At 42.7% G+C, this 21,284-nt stretch overlaps 1 protein-coding gene across 2 annotated transcripts in view; it reads right to left on the bottom strand.

The window, feature by feature from the left end:
* The window catches only part of JADE3 (jade family PHD finger 3), a 148,942-nt gene continuing 143,512 nt past the window's right edge, over nt 15,855–21,284 (bottom strand). For both annotated transcript variants that reach the window (NM_001077445.3, NM_014735.5), the window contains exons 10-11: nt 20,898–21,015; nt 15,855–18,930 (exon numbers count right to left, since the gene is read on the bottom strand). In NM_001077445.3, coding sequence (NP_001070913.1) covers nt 18,020–18,930; nt 20,898–21,015 — 1,029 coding nt within the window. In that variant the 3' untranslated portion in view covers nt 15,855–18,019. The remainder of the gene's footprint in view (nt 18,931–20,897; nt 21,016–21,284) is intronic.

Genomic DNA, 21,284 nt, shown 5'->3' with positions numbered 1-21,284 from the left:
ATACAGGCCAGCAGCTTAACTGAGCTGACCCAAACCAATCACATCATTTCCCACCAACCTCCTGAGCACTCTGTCCTGGGAAATGGGCTGTGGTGCAGCCAACTGGCTGTGCAAGAAGCCCTGACACCTCGCGAGCCTCCTCTTGGTCCCTAACTCAAGTCCAGTTAGTCACCAGGTCATAGAATTGTCCCTTTAATGTCCTTCTATGTTGGCACTGCCTTAATTCATTCAGGCTTTCCCCATTTCTTGCCTAGATTGTTTTAATCTTCCCGGAGGCCTCATCTCATCCCTGTGGATCTGCTGCCAAAATGACCTGCTAGACCGTGAGTCTTGCAGGGGAGGGGATGTATCTTATTCACCCTCACCTCCCTGGGTCCTGCCACAGTGCTGACACATAGAGGTTGTTCAACTATATGCTTTTCAGGCTGGGCACCGTGGCTCACCCCTGTAATCCCAGCACTTTGGGGGGCTGAGGCAGGAGGACCACTTGAGGCCAGGAGTTTGACACCAGCCTGGGCAACACAGAAAGATCTCATCTCTATTAAAAAAAAAATAGCCAGGCGTGGTGGCTGTGATCCCAGTTACTGAGGAGGCTGAGGTGGGAACATCGCTTGAGCCTGGGAGATCAAGCTTGCAGTGAGCCGTGATAGCGACACTGCACTTCAGCCTGGGTGACAGAGTGGGATGTGGGATCCTGTCTCTAAAAACAAAACAACAACAACAAAAACTATATGCTTTTTTTTCTTTTTCTTTTTTTTTGCTGAGAGGGGTACCTTTATTTAGAAAAAAATTTCAGTTTTACAGAAAAGCTGCAAGAATAATAGAAAAAATTCATGATTACCCTTCACCCAGATTCCCCAAATGTTAAGTTTACCACATTTGCTTTACCCTTCTCTCTCTTATTTACATATACATCTATATATAATTTTTTTCTGACCAGTTTGGGAGCAAGTTGCAGACATGATGCTCCTTTACCTTTAAATACTGTAGTTCAGTGTGTGTTTCCTGAAAGCAAGGGTATTCTCTTCCATAAACACAGCACGATGGTCAAAATCAGGTAAATTAACATTGATACAGGATTATCTATTGGAGTCTCACCAATTGTCCAACTAATGTCCTTTATAATAAAAGGAAAAAAGATGTTTCATGCCCAAACCCAATCCAGGGCGAGGCATTGCATTTAGCTGCATTTAGTTGCTTTTCACCTGGAACAGCTCCTCAGCCTTTTATTTTTGTTTCCTGACATCATTGACATTTTTGGAATTCAAAATGTAGAATGTCCCTTAATTTGGGATTCCTTGATTTTTCCTCATGGTCAATTCAGGCTATGCCTTTTTGGCAATGCTACAAAAGTGATGCTGTATCCTCACCATCTGCAGGCAAACGAATGTTGATTTGTTAACTTTGATCATAATATGTGGTTATGAATCTTTTTAAATTGGCTGGGCATGGTGGCTTATGCCTGTAATCCCGGCACTTTGGGAGGCCGAGGCGGGTGGATCACTTGAGGTCCCAGCCTGGCCAACATGGTGAAACCCCATTTCTACTAGCTGGGCATGGTGGCGTGTGCCTGTAATCCCAGCTATTTGAGAGGCTGAGGCAGGAGAATTGCTTGAACCCGGGAGGCGGAGGTTGCGGTGAGCCAAGATCATGCCACTGCACTCCAGCCTGGGCAAGAGAGTGAGACACTGTCTCAAAAAATAATAATAAATAAAATAAAAAAAAAAGTGTAGTCATAGCACCCTGCAATGGACCCCGAGCACACAAGGCTCTTCGAATTTGTGGGGAGTCCCTTCTTGACCTCTCTCATGTTCTAGCCATGTTCTCTGCTTCTTGACTTTGAACTTGCTATTCCCTCTGCCTAGAACACTTCTCTCTGACCACTAATCCAATGCTTCCTTCTGCACTGGACTAACTTCTAACTAAGAGTCAGTTGAATGTCCCCTCCATCAGGAAGACTTCGCTGACCCTCCTCGCTCTCTGACCTATTGCTCTTCCAGGAGCGCCTCTTTATGTTTTATTACATTACTCATCACACTGAGATCCATTGGTTTATGTGTCTCTCCTGCTTTATCAGGAGCTCTCTGAGGATACATAGGGATCTTTTATTACAATATAAGTGCTCTTTATTCGCAGACCACCTGCAGTCAAACACATCTGGGTTCATTGACTCTTTACAGTGAGGAGGGAGAACACACACCACAGGGTACCCTGGGACATCTCAGTAACAGGCTGTTAGAAAGAACCTACTATAGGCCAGGCACAGTGGTTTATGCCTGTAATTCCAGCACTTTGGGAGGCAGAGGAGGGTGGATCACTTGAGGTCTGGAGTTCAAGACCAGCCTGACCAACATAGGGAACGCTGTCTTTACAAAAAATACAAAAATTAGTGCATGTGGCGGTGCATGCCTGTAATCCAAGCTACTTGGGGGGCTGGGGCTTGAATCTGGTGGGTGGAGGTTGCAGTGAGTGAGCGGAGATCGTGCCATTGCACTCCAGCTGGGGTGACAGAGCGAGATTCTGTCTCAAAAAAAAAAGTTGTTTTTTTTTTTTAAAAAGAAACTACTATAGAATTTGGCCTTGTATTAGGTGATGTGATTTTGGGGCGAGTCCAAGGATTGAATGCTGTCAGGGAGTAGGGGTGACTCCATGATTGGGCATTTTAATTTTCATCTAGAAGACAAGGAGAATGGGCTGAAGAACAAGCAGCCCTCACTCAGATAAGCCAGGATGGGGCGATGTTGAGTCATTTTTGTGATTCATTCTTTCCTTCCTTCCTTCCTTCCTTCCTTCCTTCCTTCCTTCCTTCCTTCCTTCCTTCCTTCCTTCCTTCCTTCCTTTCTTTCTTTCTTTCTTTCTTTCTTTCTTTCTTTCTTTCTTTCTTTCTTTCTTTCTTTCTTTCTTTTTCTTTCTTTCCTTTTTTTGAGACGGAATCTTGCTCTGTTGCCCAGGCTGGAATGCAGTGGCGTGATCTCCACTCACTGCAACCTCCACCTCCTGGGCTCAAGCAATTCTCCTGCCTCAGCCTCCTGAGTAGCTGGGACTACAGGCACGTGCCACCACACCTGGCTAATTTTTTGTATTTTTAGTAGAGACGGGGTTTCACCGTATTAGCCAGGATGGTCTCGATCTTCTGACCTCGTGAACTGCCCACCTTGGCCTCCCAAAGTGCTGGGTTACAGGCGTGAGCCACTGTGCCCGGCCTGTGATTTTTTTTTTTTTTTTTAGTAGAGACGGGGTCTCACTTTGTTTTGCCCAGGCTGGTCTCGAGCTCCTGGCCTTAAGCAATCCTCCTGTCTCAGCCTTCCAAAAGTGCTGGGATTACAGGTGTGAGCCACCACACCTGGCCCAGATTTTTAATTTTTTGTAGAGATGAGGTCTCCCTGTGTTGTCCAGGCTGGTCTCGAACTCCTGGGCTCAAGTGATTCTTCCACCTCTGCCTCCTGAAATGCTGGGATTACAGGCATGAGCCATCAGGTCCAGTCCATTTTTGTCATTTGGTCAGTCTATGATTAATCTTGTTTTTGTCTTGATCCATTGCAGTCCCAGAATGGCCTTGTCTGATGTTGGTGACCTCTGAAATTGTTCATGTTCAGCAGGAGAATGCCAAGGCCTAGCTGTGGGTGCCATGGCGGATTTTGGATGTCACAGACTGCTTTTCTTTCTTTTTTTTGGCTGTTGATCTTTTTTTTTTTTTTTTTTTACACTTTAAGTTTTAGGGTACATGTGCACATTGTGCAGGTTAGTTACAGATGTATACATGTGCCATGCTGGTGCGCTGCACCCACCAACTCGTCATCTAGCATTAGGTATATCTCCCAATGCTATCCCTCCCCCCTCCCCCCACCCCACCACAGTCCCCGGAGTGTGATATTCCCCTTCCTGTGTCCATGTGATCTCATTGTTCAATTCCCACCTATGAGTGAGAATATGCGGTGTTTGGTTTTTTGTTCTTGCGATAGTTTACTGAGAATGATGATTTCCAATTTCATCCATGTCCCTACAAAGGACATGAACTCATCATTTTTTATGGCTGCATAGTATTCCATGGTGTATATGTGCCACATTTTCTTAATCCAGTCTATCATTGTTGGACATTTGTGCTGTTTCCAAGTCTTTGCTATTGTGAATAATGACGCAATAAACATACGTGTGCATGTGTCTTTAGAGCAGCAAGATTTATAGTCCTTTGGGTATATACCCAGTAATGGGATGGCTGGGTCAAATGGTATTTCTAGTTCTAGATCCCTGAGGAATCGCCACACTGACTTCCACAATGGTTGAACTAGTTTACAGTCCCACCAACAGTGTAAAAGTGTTCCTATTTCTCCACCTCCTCTCCAGCACCTGTTGTTTCCTGACTTTTTAATGATTGCCATTCTAACTGGTGTGAGATGGTATCTCATTGTGGTTTTGATTTGCATTTCTCTGATGGCCAGTGATGATGAGCATTTTTAATTTCCCCTTTTGTCCAAGGTCAGATTAAGTAAAGGCCATAGGATGTGAATCGATGATTTTCTGATCTTCACCATTTACCAGGATTTTGCTGATCTACAGGTGGCTCCAAGAAAATTGTCTGTAGTAGGACAAGGGTTAGTCTCCCCACCCTTTAAAAAAATTTTTTGAGACAGTGTCTTGCTCTGTCACCTAGGCTGGAGTGCAGTGGCAGGACTGTGGCTTATTGCAGCCTTGACCTCCTGGGCTCAAGCAATCTTCCCATCTCAGCCTTGTGATTAGCTAGGACTATAGGCACACATCACCACCCCTGGCTAATTTTTTTTCTTATTTTTTGTAGAGATGGGGGTCACACTATGTTGGCCACGCTAGTCTCGAACTCCTGGGCTCAAGCAATCCTCCCACCTCAGCCTCCCAAAGTGCTGGGATTACAGGCGCAAGCCACTGTGCCTGGCCAGTTTTTATAAGACCAAAGTTTGGGGTTAATGATGCAAGGGAAACTTAAGAACCAGAAGGGGCTTACTAAAGGAAATGTACCTTCTGTAGTGTTTAAGGAAGAATGATTAATTTTTTTTGTCAGCAAACAGTTAAATTCAGAGCAGTAGCTATGCTCTGAGAAAAATCTATCAGGATGCTTTGTTTTTCTTTTTTTAATTTATTTCTGAGATGGGGTCTTGCCCTGTCACCCAGGCTGCAGTGCAGTGGCACGATCACGGCTCATTGCAGCCTCAACCTCCTGGGCTCAAGTGATCCTCCCACCTCAGCCTCCCAAGTAGCTGGGACTACAGGCACACTCCACCAAGTCTGGCTGATTTTTGTACTTGTTTTGTAGAGAGGGGGTTTTGCCATGTTGCCCAGGCTGTGTTTTTTCTTAAGTGAGAGGGGACTGTAAGGGTTCAGAAGTCACAGGATGAGGGTAAGGGAGAACACACTGAGAAGCCTTTTCGTCTGTTAGTATCATAGAGAGAGTGTAAAGCACAATAGGCAAGATGAGCAGGAGAGTGAAAGGAAAGAAAAGGGCTGCTAAGAATCAGAAAATTAACCTTGAGTTGAAGCTGGCCACTTCTGCAGTCAGCAGTTTCTGGAGGGCTTCTAAGAATGTCTTAATTTAAAGTGTCCCGATGGAATGGACATCCAGGAGTCAGGATAAACTGACTTTTTAAGTTGGGAAATGGGAACTTAAGTGTCCCGTTGGAGTTTTATTGCTGTGCAAGTTGCTAACAGTCCCTGATAAGGTCTTTTCCACGGAGACTCAAGTAGTTTTTCTCTGATGTCTTTTCAGAAAACCAAACCTTCAGGTTTGAGATCCTGCAGAGGCTGCTGAGGTGGGGGTTTTGAAAACGCAATTTACTAGGCGGGCGTGGTGGCATACGCCTGTAATCCCAGCTACTCAGGAAGCTGAGGCAGGAGAATCACTTGAACCTGGGAGGCATAGGTTGCAGTGAGCGGAGATTGGGCCACTGCACTCTAGCCTGGGCAATAGACAGAGCCAAACTCCGTCTCAAAACAAACAAAAAAGAAAATGCAGTTTATACCTGTTGGTGAGAAAGCTGGAGGTATTGTAGGAGTCCCCTGCAGTAATGAGTCATATCAGCCTGTAATAGAGTGGAGTCTAGCATTGGGAATACTTTCCAAATGCATAGGGAAACCTGTTATTATCTCAGAAGCAGATAACTTGTGAATCCTTTGGGGGGGGATGCAGATCTTATTGCCATGAAAAATAATGGCAATACTTGAGGCTATGGAAGTTCAAGGGGTTTCTAAGAGCTTTGATTATTGTGGTTTTCGAATTCCAAGAGTTCTCTGTTTTTTTTTGTTTTGTTTTGTTTTGTTTTTTGAGACAGAGTCTCGCTCTGTCACCCAGGCTGGAGTGCAGTGGTGCAATCTCGGCTCACTGCAACCTCCACCTCCCAGGTTCAAGCAATTCTCCTGCCTCAGCCTCCCAAGTAGCTGAGACTACAGGCGTGCACCACCACGCCCGGCAATTTTTTTTTTTATTTTTTTATTTTTAGTAGAGACGGAGTTTCACCATGTTGGCCAGGCTGGTCTCGAACTCCTGACCTCAGGTGATCAGCCTGTCTTGGCTTCTCAAAGTGCTGAGATTACAGGCGTAAGCCACCATGCCTGGCCAGTTCTTTGCAATTTTTCTGAATTGACAGTTGATAAGGACCGTGCCACTTTAGGAAATGAGAATAAAAAATCACCTTCAGTGACTAGTGTTTTCTATCTATTCCTTACTCAGAAACTGTCAGTTTCTTATGTGTCCAAAGATTATTTATTAATGAACTTAATCTTTTGTCTTAAGTCTTAAAGTTGGGATCTAGAGATTTCAATTTTAGCCAATACATTAAATCCTTATGATTTGTAGAAATTTAAGAATTTTTCAGGCTGGGTGCAGTGGCTCACACCTGTAATCCCAGCACTTTGGGAGGCTGAGGCAGGAGGATCACTTGAGCCCAGGAGTTTGAGACCAGCCTGGGCAACATAGGAAGACACTGTATCTACAAACAAAAACAAAAACAACAACAAAAATTATTTCATGAAGGTGCAGAATGACAAAATATAATAAAACAGAAAAAAAATTAGCCAGGCCTGGTGGCTCATGCCTGTAGTCCCAGCTACTCAGGAGGCTGAGGTGGGAGGATCGCTTGAGCCCAGGAGGTCGAGGCTGCAGTGAGTTATGATTGCACCACTGCACTCCAGCCTGTGTGACAGAGTGAGACCCTGTCTCAAAAAAATTTTTTTTTTCATAAAATTAAACTATTTAAAAAGACACCTGTTAGTATTATTCCTTTCAGTCGTTCATATATATATGAAGTTATAGAAACAATGGTAATTTACTTAACCCATAAAATCAGTGTAGGAAATTTAGAAAGCTTAAGTAATTTAATCCTGATTTTTGTACAAGCAAAAATATTGTTCTGACATTACTTTAAAATGGTAAACTATTTTTAAAGATCTTCAATCATAATTGAAAGCTCTTCTTTATCTTGAAATTAAATTCTTTTCTTATTTTTTCATAAGTATAATAACAAAGACTATTGTGTTAAATATACTTTCTAGTGTCCCCGAAAAGAAACACATTCAATAACTTTTTCTTTCCTTTAGACACTTTTGACAGTTTATCCAGACTAGATATTTCTAGAGTGTACGCAGAACAACTAAATTTTTTTTTTTGAGACAAAGTCTCGCTCTGTTGCCCAAGATGGAGTGCAGTGGTGTGATCTTGGTTCACTGCAACCTCCGCCTCCTGGGTTCAAGGGATTCTTTTGCCTCAGCCTCCCAGGTAGCTGGGTGCCCACCACCACACTTGGCTAATTTTTGTATTTTTAGTAGAGACGGGGTTTCACCATGTTGGCCAGGCTGGTCTTGAACTCCTGACCTCAAATGATCCACCTGCCCTGGCCTCCCAAAATGCTGGGATTACAGGCGTGAGCCACTGTGCCTGGCCCTGAATTTTTTTTTTTTTTTTGATCAGTTAATCTTTAAAGTTTCCCAAGGGAGTAAAAGAGAGGGAGAGGAACAACAACAACAAAAAGCCAGCTTCAGACAAATATGAAATTATCATTTATTAGGTTGGTGCAAAAGGAACTGCCATTACTTTTAATGGCAAAAGCTACAGTTACTTTTGCATCAACATAATAAAAGGTTAATTTTGTTCTTTCTTGAAGGACAGGGAAGAATATATAAACATAGAAAGACCATTTTGACAAGCACACTGGGGGGTGGGGAGGGAGACAGAGTACAGAGTACAGTATTGTCTAAACCAAGTTATTGGTTTAGACAATAACTTGGGCCTTTGACAGTTTTATCCATGTAAAGAATTTTAAAGCTACCACTCATTAATCCTTGAAATGTGGAAACAAAGGAGGGGGGGTCACCTACCCCCCAAAATAATTTTTCTTTTAGGCAAAACCAAATAATCTCCTAATAAGGTTTTCTTCACTCTTTGTTCTAAGATGCCTCTTAAATGAACAATCTTGTTCATCTCAAAAGTTCCCCAATGTGGCCGCAGTAATTTCAAACTGACCCTAGAGAAATTTTGCCATATGGTGAATATTATAGTAGGAAAACATGAAGGAAGCAGGTATTTAGTATCAAAGACTTGCAGTTTTAGACTTGGAAGACCCCATGTGAATGTTCATGGGCTGTAATGATGACGCTTGGGCAACTTTGTGTCTATGGAACCTGGCTGAAGGCCAATCATTACCCGTCAAGAGGCCATGTAAAACTTCCTGATTCCAGGCTGATTAGTTTGTTTTTAACTTTGAGACTGGGTTTCACTCTGTTGCCTAGGCTAGAGTGCAGTGGTGTGATCATGGCTCACTGCAGCTTTGACCTCCTGGGCTTAGGTGATCCTCCTGACTCAGTTTCCCTAGTAGCTGAGACCACGGATGCATGCTGCCACACCCAGCTAATTTTTAAAATTTTTGTAGAGACAGAGTCTTGCTATGTTGCCCAGACTGGTCTTGAACTCCTGGGCTCAAGCGATCCTCCTGCCTCGGCCTCCTGAAGTGCTGAGATCACAGGGATGAGTCACCCACGCCTGGCCAGAGTATAATTTGATTAGTTTTGACATATGTATACATGTCTAGAACTATCTCCACCACCAAGATAATGAACATTCTGGTCACCCCCAAAAGTTTCCTCCTGCCCTTTTATTATCCCTTCCTCCCACCTTTCCCTGCTCCTAACCCCCAGGCAACCACTAGTCTGCTCTCTGTCACTCCAGATTTGCTCCTATTTTGTAGTTTTTTTGGTACCTGGGATTATATTTATACAGTATGTATTCTGTTTTGTCTGGCTGAGCATAATTACTTTGAAATTCTTCTCTCCCAGTCTGTGATTTCTCTTTTCAGTCTATTAATAGCATCTTGCAAAAAGTAGTGGTTTCGGCTGGGCATGGTGGCTCACGCCTATGATCCCAGCACTTTGGGAGGCCAAGGTGGGAGGATTGCTTGAGTCTAGGAGTTCAAAACCAGCCTGGGCAACATGATGAGACTCTGTCTCTATTAAAAAAAAAAACAACCTATCTCTCACCATATACAAAAATCAAATCAAAATGGACTTCAAACTATGAAACTACTACAAGAAAACATTGGGGAAAATCTCCAGGACATTAGTCTGGGCAAAGATTTCTTGAGTAATAACCCACAAGCACAGGCAACCAAAGAAAAATGGACAAATGGGATCACATCAAGTTAAAAAGCTTCTGCACAGCAAAGGGAACAATCAACAAAGGGAAGAGACAACCCACAGAATAGGAGAAAATATTCACAAACTACCCATCTGACAAGGGATTAATAACCAGAATATATAAGGAGTTCATACTATAGGAAAAAAATCTAATGATCTGATAAAAAAAATGGGTATGCCCCCACACCCTAATTTTTAATTTTTAATTTTTTTGTACAGATGGGGTCTCACTGTGTTACTCAGGCTGGTCTGGAACTCCTGGGCTCAAGTGATCCTCCCACCTCGGCCTCCCAAAGTGCTGGGATTACAGGTGTGAGCTAATGTGCCTGGCCAACTGTAGGGTTTTTTGTAGGTGTTCTTTATAAGGTTCTGGGTAGATATCCTTTATTCAGCTTCTATTCACAGTTTGCTGAACACTATTATCAGCAGTAGATACTGTCAAATGTTTTTATTTATTTATTTTATTTTTTTGAGACAGAGTCTCGCTCTGTCACCCAGGCTGGAGTGCAGTGGCACAATCTTGGCTCACTGCAACCTCTGCCTTCAGGGTTCAAGCGATTCTCATGCATCAGCCTACCAAGTAGCTGGGATTACAGGCACCTGCCACCACGCCCGGCTAATTTTTGTATTTTTAGTAGAGACGGGGTTTTGCCGTGTTGGCCAGACTGGTCTCAAACTCCTGGCTTCAAGCGATCCACCCGCCTCAGCCTCCCAAAAAGTGCTGGGATAACAGGTGTGAGCTACAGCACCTGGCCTCAAATGCTTTTTATGTATCTATTGAGATATGGTAAATTACACTGATTGATTTTCAAATGTTAAGTCAACCTGCATGTCTGGGATAAATCTTACTTTTGATATATTCTTCGATTAAATTAGCTAACGTTTTGTTAAGAACTTTTGCATTGTTTTTATTTTTATTTTTGAGAGGGAGTCTCACTCTGTCACCCAGGCTGGAGTGCTGTGGCATGATCTCAGCTCACTGCAACCTCTGCCTCCTGGGTTCAAGTGATTCTCCTGCCTCAGTCTCCCAAGCAGCTGGGGTTACAGGCACCCACTACCACGCCCAGCTAATTTTTGTATTTTTAGTAGAGACAGGGACTTCACCATCTTGGCGAGGTTGGGTCTTGAACTCCCAGCCTCAAGTGATCCTCCTGCCTTGCCCTCCCAAAGTGCTGTGATTACAAGCATGAGCCACCACGCCCAGCCACTTTTTGCATTAATTTTTATGAAGGATATTGGTCTCTAGTTTTCTTATGTATTTGTCTGGTTTTGGTATCGGGGTAATGCTGGCTTCATGGAATGAGTTGAGAAGTATTCTCTCCTGTCCAATTTTTTGGAAGAGTTTATGTATAATTAGTATTATCTGTTTCTTAAGAGCTTGTTAGAATTTACCAGTGAAGTCATCTGGGCAGAGTTTCTTCAAAGGAAAGTTTGACTGCAAATTCAATTCATTTAATAATAAGGAGCTATTCAGGTTATCTCCTTTTTTTTTTGAGATGGAGTCTCACTCTGTCACCCAGGCTGGAGTGCAGCGGCACAATCTCGGCTTACTGCAACCTCTGCCTCCTGGGTTCAAGTGATTCTCGTGCCTCAGCCTCCTGAGTAGCTGGACTACAGGTGCGCACCACCATGCCCGTACTTTTAGTAGCAATCTGTACTTTTAGTAGAGATGGGGTTTCACCATGTTGGCCAGGCTGGTCTCGAACTTCTGACCTCAGGTGATCCACCCACATTGGCCTCTCAAAGTGCTGGGATTACAGGCATGAGCCACCGCGCCCAGCCTGTATGTTTGTTTGTATTTATTTATTTATTTATTGAGACGGAGTTTCCCTCTTGTTGCCCAGGCTGAAGTACAATGGCACAATCTCGGCTCACTGCAACCTCCACCTCCTGGGTTCAAGCGATTCTCCTGCCTCAGTCTCCAGAGTAGCTGGGATTACAGGCTGGTCTCGAACTGCCAACCTCAGGTGATCTGCCCGCCTTGGCCTCCCCGACTGCTGGGATTACAGGCGTGAGCCACTGTGCCCGGCCAATATTTAAAGTGGGCTTCTTGTAGGCAGCATAGAGTTGCATTCTTTAACCTCCAAGCTTGGCTCAGGTATCTGGGGTGTTTTAAGAACTCAACTCTCAGGCCATTCACTTCCTTTTAGGAAGCTCTGATAACGAAAGCATTTATCATAATGAGCTACATGTGCCTTCTATAACTTCCCCCGTGGAGTAACACTCAAGGAATTATTTCTACTTCCCCAGGACAGTTTTTCAGACAACAGGACCATACAAACCTATGGGCAACTCCTCAGGCAGTGCCAGATTCAGCCACGGTGGATCCAGCAGGCCCATGGAGGATTATCCAAGGCTACCTAAGAAGTACCAAAGGCTACCTTGGAAAAAGTGTTGGGGGGATGGGACGAGAAAGAGAAAACTAATTTCTCTAGGGGAGGATTCTATTGATCAAAAAAAAACACTGGTTTTCCATTTAATGGAAAGAGTTTCAACTAATGAAAGTACAGGACCAACCTAGAGTATCACAGCAGAGATGGACATACTGGGAAAGGAACATTCCCCCAAAAGGGTAGGGAGCACTTGCAGTATGCCTAGTGTATTAGTTTTCTATTTCTGCTGTAAAAATTACCACAAATTTAGTGGCTTAAAACAACACAAATATATTCTCTTAAGAGTTCAGGAGGTCAAACGTCTAAAATCACAGCATAGGCAGGGCTGAGTTGTTTCTGAAAACCTTCTGAGGTGGGGTCTGTTTCTTGTCTTTTTCCATTTCTAGAGACTGTCTGCATTCCTTGGCTCATGGCTCTTCTTTGCATCATTCCAACCTCCCGCTTCCATTGTCACATCTCTTATTACTGACTTGGATACTCCTGCCTCCCTCTTATAAGCACCCTTGTGACTATATTGGTTGGGCCCACCTAGATAATCCAGGATAACTTCCCCATCTTAAGGCCCTTAAATTTTTATTTTAGAGTCGGGGGTATATGTGCTTGTGTGCTACATGTGTAATGGTTGGGGTCGAAAGCCCTTAACTTTAATTACATCTGCTAAACCCCTCTTACCATGCAAGGTAGCATATTCGCAGGCTCCAGGGATTAGGACATGGACATCTTTGGGGGGGCATTATCTATCTTTACTATGCCCAGTTGCAAGTTAGATTAGCTACGGAGAAGGCAAATCCACCAGGTCCTAGATCTGTGAGGTCTGTACTGTTCAGATTTGTGTGACGTATCTTGTGTTTTGGATGTGAACCTCTAAACTGACTTTGTGTTAGATGACTAATTGTGGTCCAATCAACTCTGTCCAGGCATCACGGATAAAGTGGTACAGAATCCTTACAACCAAACCCCAACTCAGGTTGGTTTCCTCAGGAAGAAACTGAGTAAGAGTGTTTAGAGAGGGGGCTTTGGGCACAGGAGTCAAGCAAAGTGACTAAAAGTATGAGTTGTAGAGGCAAGCTCACAGGTTCTAGCTTTGAACAACTGTCTTAAACATTTGGCCTCAGTTTTCACGTATCAAATGCAGCTGATAGTATTATCTTCATATGGTTGTTGTGAGAACTAAATATAAGGTAGCCCCATGTAAAAGGCTTAGCAAAAGGCCTGCCATAGGTTAAGGGCTTGATGAATATTGTAACTTTTATTATTTGAAGGCTTGACTGGTCCCAAACAAGTTTCCTGGCTTGTCCGACCAAGGTTTTTTTTTATTTATTTTTATTTTTTTTTAATAAGATGGAGTTTCATCATGTTGCCCAGGCTGGTCTCGAACTCCTGGGCTCCAGCGATCCTCCCCACCTCAGCCTGCCAAAGTGGTGGGATTACAGGCATGAGCCACCATGCCCGGCCCCAAGTAGCTGTCTTGAAACTGACCTTTAGCTTGAAACTGCTCATGCAGCTCTCAGTCCATCTTTAAGGACTGGAGGACAAGACACGGGCACAAATTCTGCCCCAAAGATGCAGGCAGCACTGTCTGATCTTGTTCATTGTTGTCCTTGAAGGCAAATATGACTGAAAAGACTGAGTGGCCACAGTACTGCACACAGCTAACCACCACTTTGTGAACACTGTTGTTGCTTAACCCCTAGAGCCACCTTTGTTTGAAGAGCTAGGGGGAGGGGAAAGAACCAGAGATCCAGTTTTGTAAAGTAGAAAAGTTAAGGTGAAGAGAGGAAAAATCTGTTACCAGAACACTGGCACCTATGCCAGGCTTATCTGAAGCAGGAATACGTATTTAATGTTTTTTTCCCTAAGCAGCAGCTGAAAGATCTAAAATGGTACTGGTCCAACCCGAAGTGTCTTTCTGTTGTGAGGCTGAAGTGATTATAATTTTCAAAATTTCAGCAATTTTTCGAATGAAGTTTTCTCATGTGAGAAATGACTATAAAATAACGAGATCCATTTCCACGTGTGGTGTATGAAAGCAGTGTCATTACATTATGGCAATACTTTAGAAAGCAATGTTGAGCAAAAAGTGGTTCCGCAAATGGCCTCCCAATTCAGATAACTCGCTGTAATCAGTACAGCTTGAACAGACCAATTCCATCTTTCCACCTTGTTTATAACCTGATATTCAGTTATAATAAATGAAATTGAGAAGAAGAGTGCAAGTAGTGAGAGGAGGGGAAAGAAATTTAAAGCTTGGGGCATTCAAGCCTTGAGGCTGGACTGCTCATATCCAAATCCATCTTAACAAAATGAGAAATGATGGATGCTCTAAGACCCTAAAAAAAAAAAAATCATCAGTGGCAGGCATCATGGCTCATATGCCTGTAATGCCAGCACTTTGGAAGGCCGAGGCGTGAGGATTGCTTGAGCCCAGGAGTTTGAGACCAGCCTGGGCAATATAGTGAGACTCCATCTCTACAAATAGAAAAATGTAGCCAGGCATGGTGGCATGCTCCTGTAGTCCCCAGTTACTCTGGACCTGAGGCGGGAGGATTGTTTGAGTCCACGAGTTGGAGGTTACAGTGAGCTCTGATCATGCTGCTGCACTCCAGCCTGTGTGACAGAACGAGACCCCAACTCAAGAAAAAAAAAGATGATCAGTGACTACATAGAGTAGGGGACACTAGTCTGGGGCTTGATCCTCCTTAACCTTGATTTATTTGAAGAACAACTATCCTCACATCTTCAGGTCATGCAATTTGTTCCAATCTGTATAGTATAATTAACCGTATTCAAAGGAACTTCTTTTACAGTGCTAGATTGTTATAAAGCTCCCACATAGAAGTGATAGCCTCAGGGTGGGTCTTTATTAACTAAAAATTACTTAAAAAAATCCAAGCTTGCATGGTTGTTAGTTAAAAGAATAAAAAAACCCCACACAATTGCTGCTTTCTATTAATATTAAACTTGAAAATAGCTGAATTAAGGTTGTGAAAATCTAATAAAATTTATAAATAAGTTAGATTTTTTGGAAAATATCACATGAAAGCTATTCAGTGGTAAATAAGTTTTCATTTCTATCATGTACTTTTCCTCAATTCTGAAAGGTCAGCAAGCATACTGAGGATTTTAAAGTCCTAGAAGGAAAATAACCCAGGATTGTGCATTCTTTGGCTTATCCTCTGAATTTAAAGTTGCTTCAACACAAGGACAAAGATTCATCTCCCATTGGAAATGTACACATTAGTATAAACTCAATAGCTTTTGTTGGCTATAACAGGGTATACCTGTAGTTTCAGTTCTCTAGCAGAGAGAGAGAGAAAGAGAGAGAGAGAGAGAGAGAACCAACTTCACCTTTTACCTATCTTCACTACTGATTTACCCAATGACCTTTGGCAAGTACATTTTTCAATCATGAAAATGTTTATAATGCCTAAAAGCCCCCCTTGACACCACATAACCCCATGACATCAACATACTCACAAGACTCCAAATAGAGATGCCTGACTGAAGCCTTTTCAATCTTGTCACTTTAGATAGGATCTATCTCTCTGGTGATGTTTTATGATGATCCTAAGGCCTTTATCTTAACAGTCTGATAAAATCATGATTTCTGGGTAAAGTTCAAGTATCCAGAGTTCTCCTGGGTCCCCGGTATTGACTCGAATGTTGAATGTGTGCTTCTAAACATTCAATTCCTCCTCTTCCTCCTCCCTCTCCCCACACTATCTGTTTTGTTCAGTGAATATAATTTTTTAAATATAAAAGGAACATGTGTAACCAATATGCCAAAATAAAAAACACACTGACAGTAGGTAGCAGTTTTCATAATTTAATGAAAAAGTATTGGTAAAAAGGGGACATTTGAAAAAGGACTGAGCTTATCTTGGAAAACTGGACTATATAAGACAAAATGAAAAAAATTAACAAAGAAGGTTAAGAGGTAATACTTCAAACAACAAAATGTAGCAAATACATTTTGGGGTAATTGAAATTTACAACTGAAGGCTCCTTCATTTACCTAGGAATATCCTGTAAAAATATTACAACTATATTTCCCTGACGAATGATATTTTAGTCAATACTCTCCCAATGGCATTACATATGGAATTTGGCTGAAGCACTGTTTTGATGTTTGCTTTTCCTCCCACTCAGAATTGAAAGGCATGAAGGGACAAAGGCTACCGCACTGGCCTCTGACATAAGGAATTTATAACACAGCTCCATCATAATTTCATTACCATGAAGGTATCAAATTAATATCTACTCCAGAGAACTCAAAGAAAAAGCACAGAAACCTAGTGCATAAATAGGGGAAATTCTCTTCCTCATTTTGATAGTTTTTTTCCCAAACAAAATACAGGACACCTACCACACATGCTATGGCATGTTTACACATGTACATAGGCACAAAAGAAATATTTTGAAGATGTAGCCAAAAGAGAGGCAAAACACATACATTTTCAGAAAAGGAGAAAGCAAAAAGCAAAGGAACCCATTAACAACGTTACAAGAACACAACTGGGGGAGAGGAAAACTGCTGAGTTTTCCATATTGACGGAGAGAGGGCCCCTGCCTTGACTGACTGGCACCTACTACAACTGGGCTGTTTCACCAGTAAGAAGCTTTAAAAATGGAAAATGGCCTCTTTTGTCTGAATATTCCCACTACACTTTCCAAAACTAGAAGAAAGAGAATATTAATTTAAGGCTAAGAAGAAAAGAGAGCTGAGAATTATAGTCTGCTTCACATTTAAAAAACGGCATCATTTCTCTCTTATTTAAATGAGAAGCAGACATGTTTTTATCCACCCCCCCCCCCGCAAATGTAATTATTCTCTTCCTACTAGAAATTAATCAAGGCTGATAGTTTGGGAACAGGGTATAAGCAACTTCTGAAAAATGGCTCCAGCCTTTTTGTTTGGGAAACTGCCTCAGATTCAAAGGTGACACAAAGCTAAATTATATCCATGTGTTAAACACATGCTTTCAAATTCTGTTTGACAATAAAAATCTGTTTCAAAATTAAAGCAGGTAAGAATACTTAACCTCTGTGCATTTTACTATATTTTAATTATACCTCAATAAAAATTTTATAAACATTAAAGCAGGTATACAAAAACTGTCAGCCAAACTTATTTTAGTCAAACTTATTTGAAAACAACACAAAAACCCTGACCTGGTACAAATACCCCAGAAATGGTCTCACTTTGGGAAAGGCTCTGGAATCCTTCACAAATGCCTAAACAGAGAATCAGAGCATTTTCCTTGGAAGTAGTACTTTTGTACTTTTGTAAACACTATCCACAAGTTAGCCTTTTATGCTTGTCAGTCAGGTGAAATAGTTATGAGTGTGTCCCCAACAAGCAAGTTTAGGAACAGGCACTGGACACTGATAAGCATGAGGAGTATTGACTCAGTAAGTTAAGATACTGTGAAAGAAACTCAACCTTGTGCAGAACAAAGGAAGACAGTAGTGAGTTTGACAGTATCTAAGATGGTGGTCTCCTGGTCTCTCCCCTGAAAAGGGTTTATAGATACCAGTGGAATTAGAAACTTCCTACAGACAGGAGCTCTGGGGAGTCACATGCTGTAGCTTCAAAAGATAAGTAGTTTTAGTGTCTGATAATCATGGTCTCTTGCAAATCAGTTAACAATGCAAGGACTCTTAATACATATACTTGTCAATGTGTTATATAACCGGAAAGCTGCCCCAAAATATTTACTGAGCAAATACCCTGGGCCCAGCTGTTCCCAATAGCCTCTGACAAACCAACCTCTGGACAACCTGCAATTACTGTAATGTGCTTGTAAAAACTAGACTTGAAACATTTTCAAAAACTGCAAGACAATTTACTATGGAAAAATGTTATCCTTTTCACTGCAATTCCTCTTAACATATGCTAAAATCCTTTTGGTGTATGGGTTTTCCCCAATATATGGGGCAAAGGCAAAGGTTGGGTCATCCTTGGAAGTTTCTAATCACCTTTGCATTGAACTGTGGGAAAGGGGATGTGTCTTGCTTTTACCATGGCAATCCCGTCTAGAGTCATGGGGAGGATTTTCCCTGTCTGAGCTATCTTTCCTTACCCTGACTTTTTCTTTATTCCCATCACTTTCTGCCTCTGAATCACTCAGCTCCAAATCTGGGCAATAGCCATCATTTTCCTGATATGGAGCTCTCCCTGCAGACCGCCTGAGAACCTGTCTACCCCAGAACTGCTCCTTGGGGCTCATATTCTTGGTTGGCTTCACATAGCACTGGAGGTCCTCTGTGTTCTTCACCCACCTATTGGTGGTCTCTTTAAAGGACCTACTAAAGTGTTCTACAGTGGATTTTCTAAAGCTGCCCTGACTGACCAAGTGGGGGCTGAACACAGGCTCCTGGTCACAGAACATCTCACTCGAGCTGTCTTTTTGGGTGACATTCCCAGACCAGCTGCCCTCCAGGCCATTGGATTTGGCAAACTTGGAGTTAGGCTGACTTTTCCCATTCCCAATGGAAGACTGTCCATGGAGGGCAGCCTGAAGGACCAGAGGCTTTCCCAGTGACTGCCCATGATAGCACTCCGAGGACGGGGTTCTCCAAGCAGGACTGGACTCCTTTGCTTCACTCCTAGAATGGCTGAGACTGGCCAGCAAACGGTTATTCTTGCTCTCTAGTGGGTATCTCGGATACGATTTTGTTCTCATTTCTAGTGACTCCTGAGGCACCTGCATGTTCCTTATACTGTGAACAGATGAGCTGCTGTCAGGAGAGTGGGGCTGCTGATCGGTTTCTGTGGAGCTGTTTCTGTGGTCTTCTGGGGTTGATTTGGGCATTTTTAACTTCAAGGTAATTCTTGGTGGTGGGTAAAACAGTGAGTTTTCAAGTGCATTTGTCAAAGGAAGCCCTGAGATAAAAAAGAAAGATTCGTTTTAACAACCGATTTAAATAATGGCTTTTGTGCTTATGGCAGAGTGAGTTCACATACCTACTCTTCCAAATGTTTAACAAGCACCTGGCTCTGCTATGTATGTATATCATGGTGTAGCAGCTGGAGTGAGCTGAACTAGAGGTTGGGGCCAAGAATGAACTCAGCAATGCCACTGTTTGCTATATGGCTCCACACCTCTTCACCTCTGCTCTTTCAGTCTGTAAAATGATCACAAACTAGTGTGTTGCCTCCTGCGTCCCATCTCTGCCCTTCCATTTCTGAGAAGAATGTCTCTAGCAATGGTTTAGAATAGGGTCTTCCTATTTGTGTGTCTGTGCATGCATGTGTTGGTATGGCACAGCACTTAGTATGTGTCTTAAACACACACATTTCAGGCCCCATCCTCTAATCTCTTCTGGCCTTCCTGAAGCAAGGCAAACACAAACCTTCAGAAACGTTGCAAGGGTTTTGGTGGGTGAAGAGTATGTATGTGTTTGAACTTGGCATTAGAGGTGATAGTTGGGTGGTTCCCATAAATTTTATATCCTTAACCTAGAATAATTTCCTGACTACAAATGAACATTATGGTGGTGGGAGGTTTTGTAGTGGTAAGGCCAGCAGAAAAGAATCATAACATTCCTGCCAACCAGCCTGCTATAGGATTGGTTGGGGAGTATCGGCAATCAGTTTCTCAGTTAAGTCATCCTACAATCACAGTCAGAGCAGGTCTTCTTCTATTATTTCAAGTACTTTGAAATTTAAAAAGCACTATCAAACAATTCCTCCTTGTATATGGACTTGACCTTTGCCCATTACCATCTTACTGTACCCTCACAAAAATGAGATATCAAGAGGACAGCTCTTAGGTATCCCAGTGGGCAGCATTTGTTCCCCAAAGGTCCACCTTGAACACCCACAACCCCCATCTCTGTCAGGAGCTGTCACCTGCTGATGCTGCAAGTCATAATGAGGTTGACTCCTACACATCAGAAGGCATGTGGGTAGGAGCCAATTTCCTTGGCATGCAGGGACTCTCCCTGTTGTCCTCTGCTTCTCCTTGTTTTGCTTGTCATGTTGCCCTTTGTGGCTGAGCAGTCTTGCTGCCTCCTGCTACACTACTCTGTTGAGACCCATGACACTCAGATACCCCAAGGCCTCTGACACCCACCTGTCACCTCATTTCTGAGTCTCTCTCATGCTCCATGGCTGACCCTCCCTTGGCAGGAGCTGATTCTGCACACCCTGTCCAGTGACCCCTAGTTGCCCAGGCTCTGCCATTGACCTCTGTGTTAAATGAGGCACAGGGAGTTTACAGGTGTCACTGAATATGACTGTCATCATTCCAGCCCAGCTCCCTATGCTTAGGGCACTATAATTATGCTCACCTGTCTTGCTCACCAAGTGGGCAGTGTACCCTACAGGCAGGGATTTTGTCTTGCTTTCTACTGTATCTTGTAGCTCAGCTCTTAGTCCACTGTAGGTGCTCAACAAATATTAGTGAATAAATGAAAAGATAACAACTCAGATCTCCAAACTTACTTCTGGCTAAGGATTTGTTTTAATAGACTATTGTTAAGATGAGTAACCCTAGAATTAAGTGTTTTCTGGAAACGTGTTAGATCCTATCCCGTCAATTTCTAAATGAATTTGATAATTACAGAATAATTTCATGGCTTCCACTAATGGCCTCGAATATCTGTTTGGGACCTAGATTACCTGCCCTAGACCTGCAACTCCTCCTACCCCACCCTGGGATTTCTTGCCTTATGAACTGACAGTGAAATGGGCCAGGTTATATTAAGATTAGACTGAAGCAAATGAGATATCTGACAAGAATTTTAAAAGATTTTTAAGTGGAATGACTGGCATGAAATTTAAATTGTTAAGATAGGATATAACCAGAGTCTACATATTTGTTAGGACATTTTAAATATACAGGTTACCTGCATCAATTTCTTGGTTAAGAAGCTGGACTTGCAAACCGAAGATCTGTTCCTGTATTTTGTTGTGTGACAGCTTCAGCTTCTCTCGTCTGCTTATCATATAGCACAGATTTCGGACCTGAAAGCCCAATCCCCAACAAATAGAGATGTTTGTCATGTTAAGCAAACCTGACAACTGAAATTGTTTGGCTAAAATAAAGACCTAAAGTCAGGTGGGGGTGAGGAGAGAAGACAGAATCCAAGAGCTGCAGAATGAGACCCACTCCACAGGAATTCACACAGCATGGTCAATTCTGGGATCTATCAACCAATAGTAAAAGCAAAATGCTCCAAATCTGCCTTCTGAAACCTACTCTCTTTGCAGTGTCATGGGCTTGATATTTATTT

This window comes from Homo sapiens, chromosome X (assembly GCF_000001405.40).
Source record: "Homo sapiens chromosome X, GRCh38.p14 Primary Assembly".
Classification (NCBI taxonomy): domain Eukaryota; kingdom Metazoa; phylum Chordata; class Mammalia; order Primates; family Hominidae; genus Homo; species Homo sapiens.
Note: the sequence above shows the minus strand (reverse complement) of the source record. Positions and strands in the feature narration are given on the sequence as shown.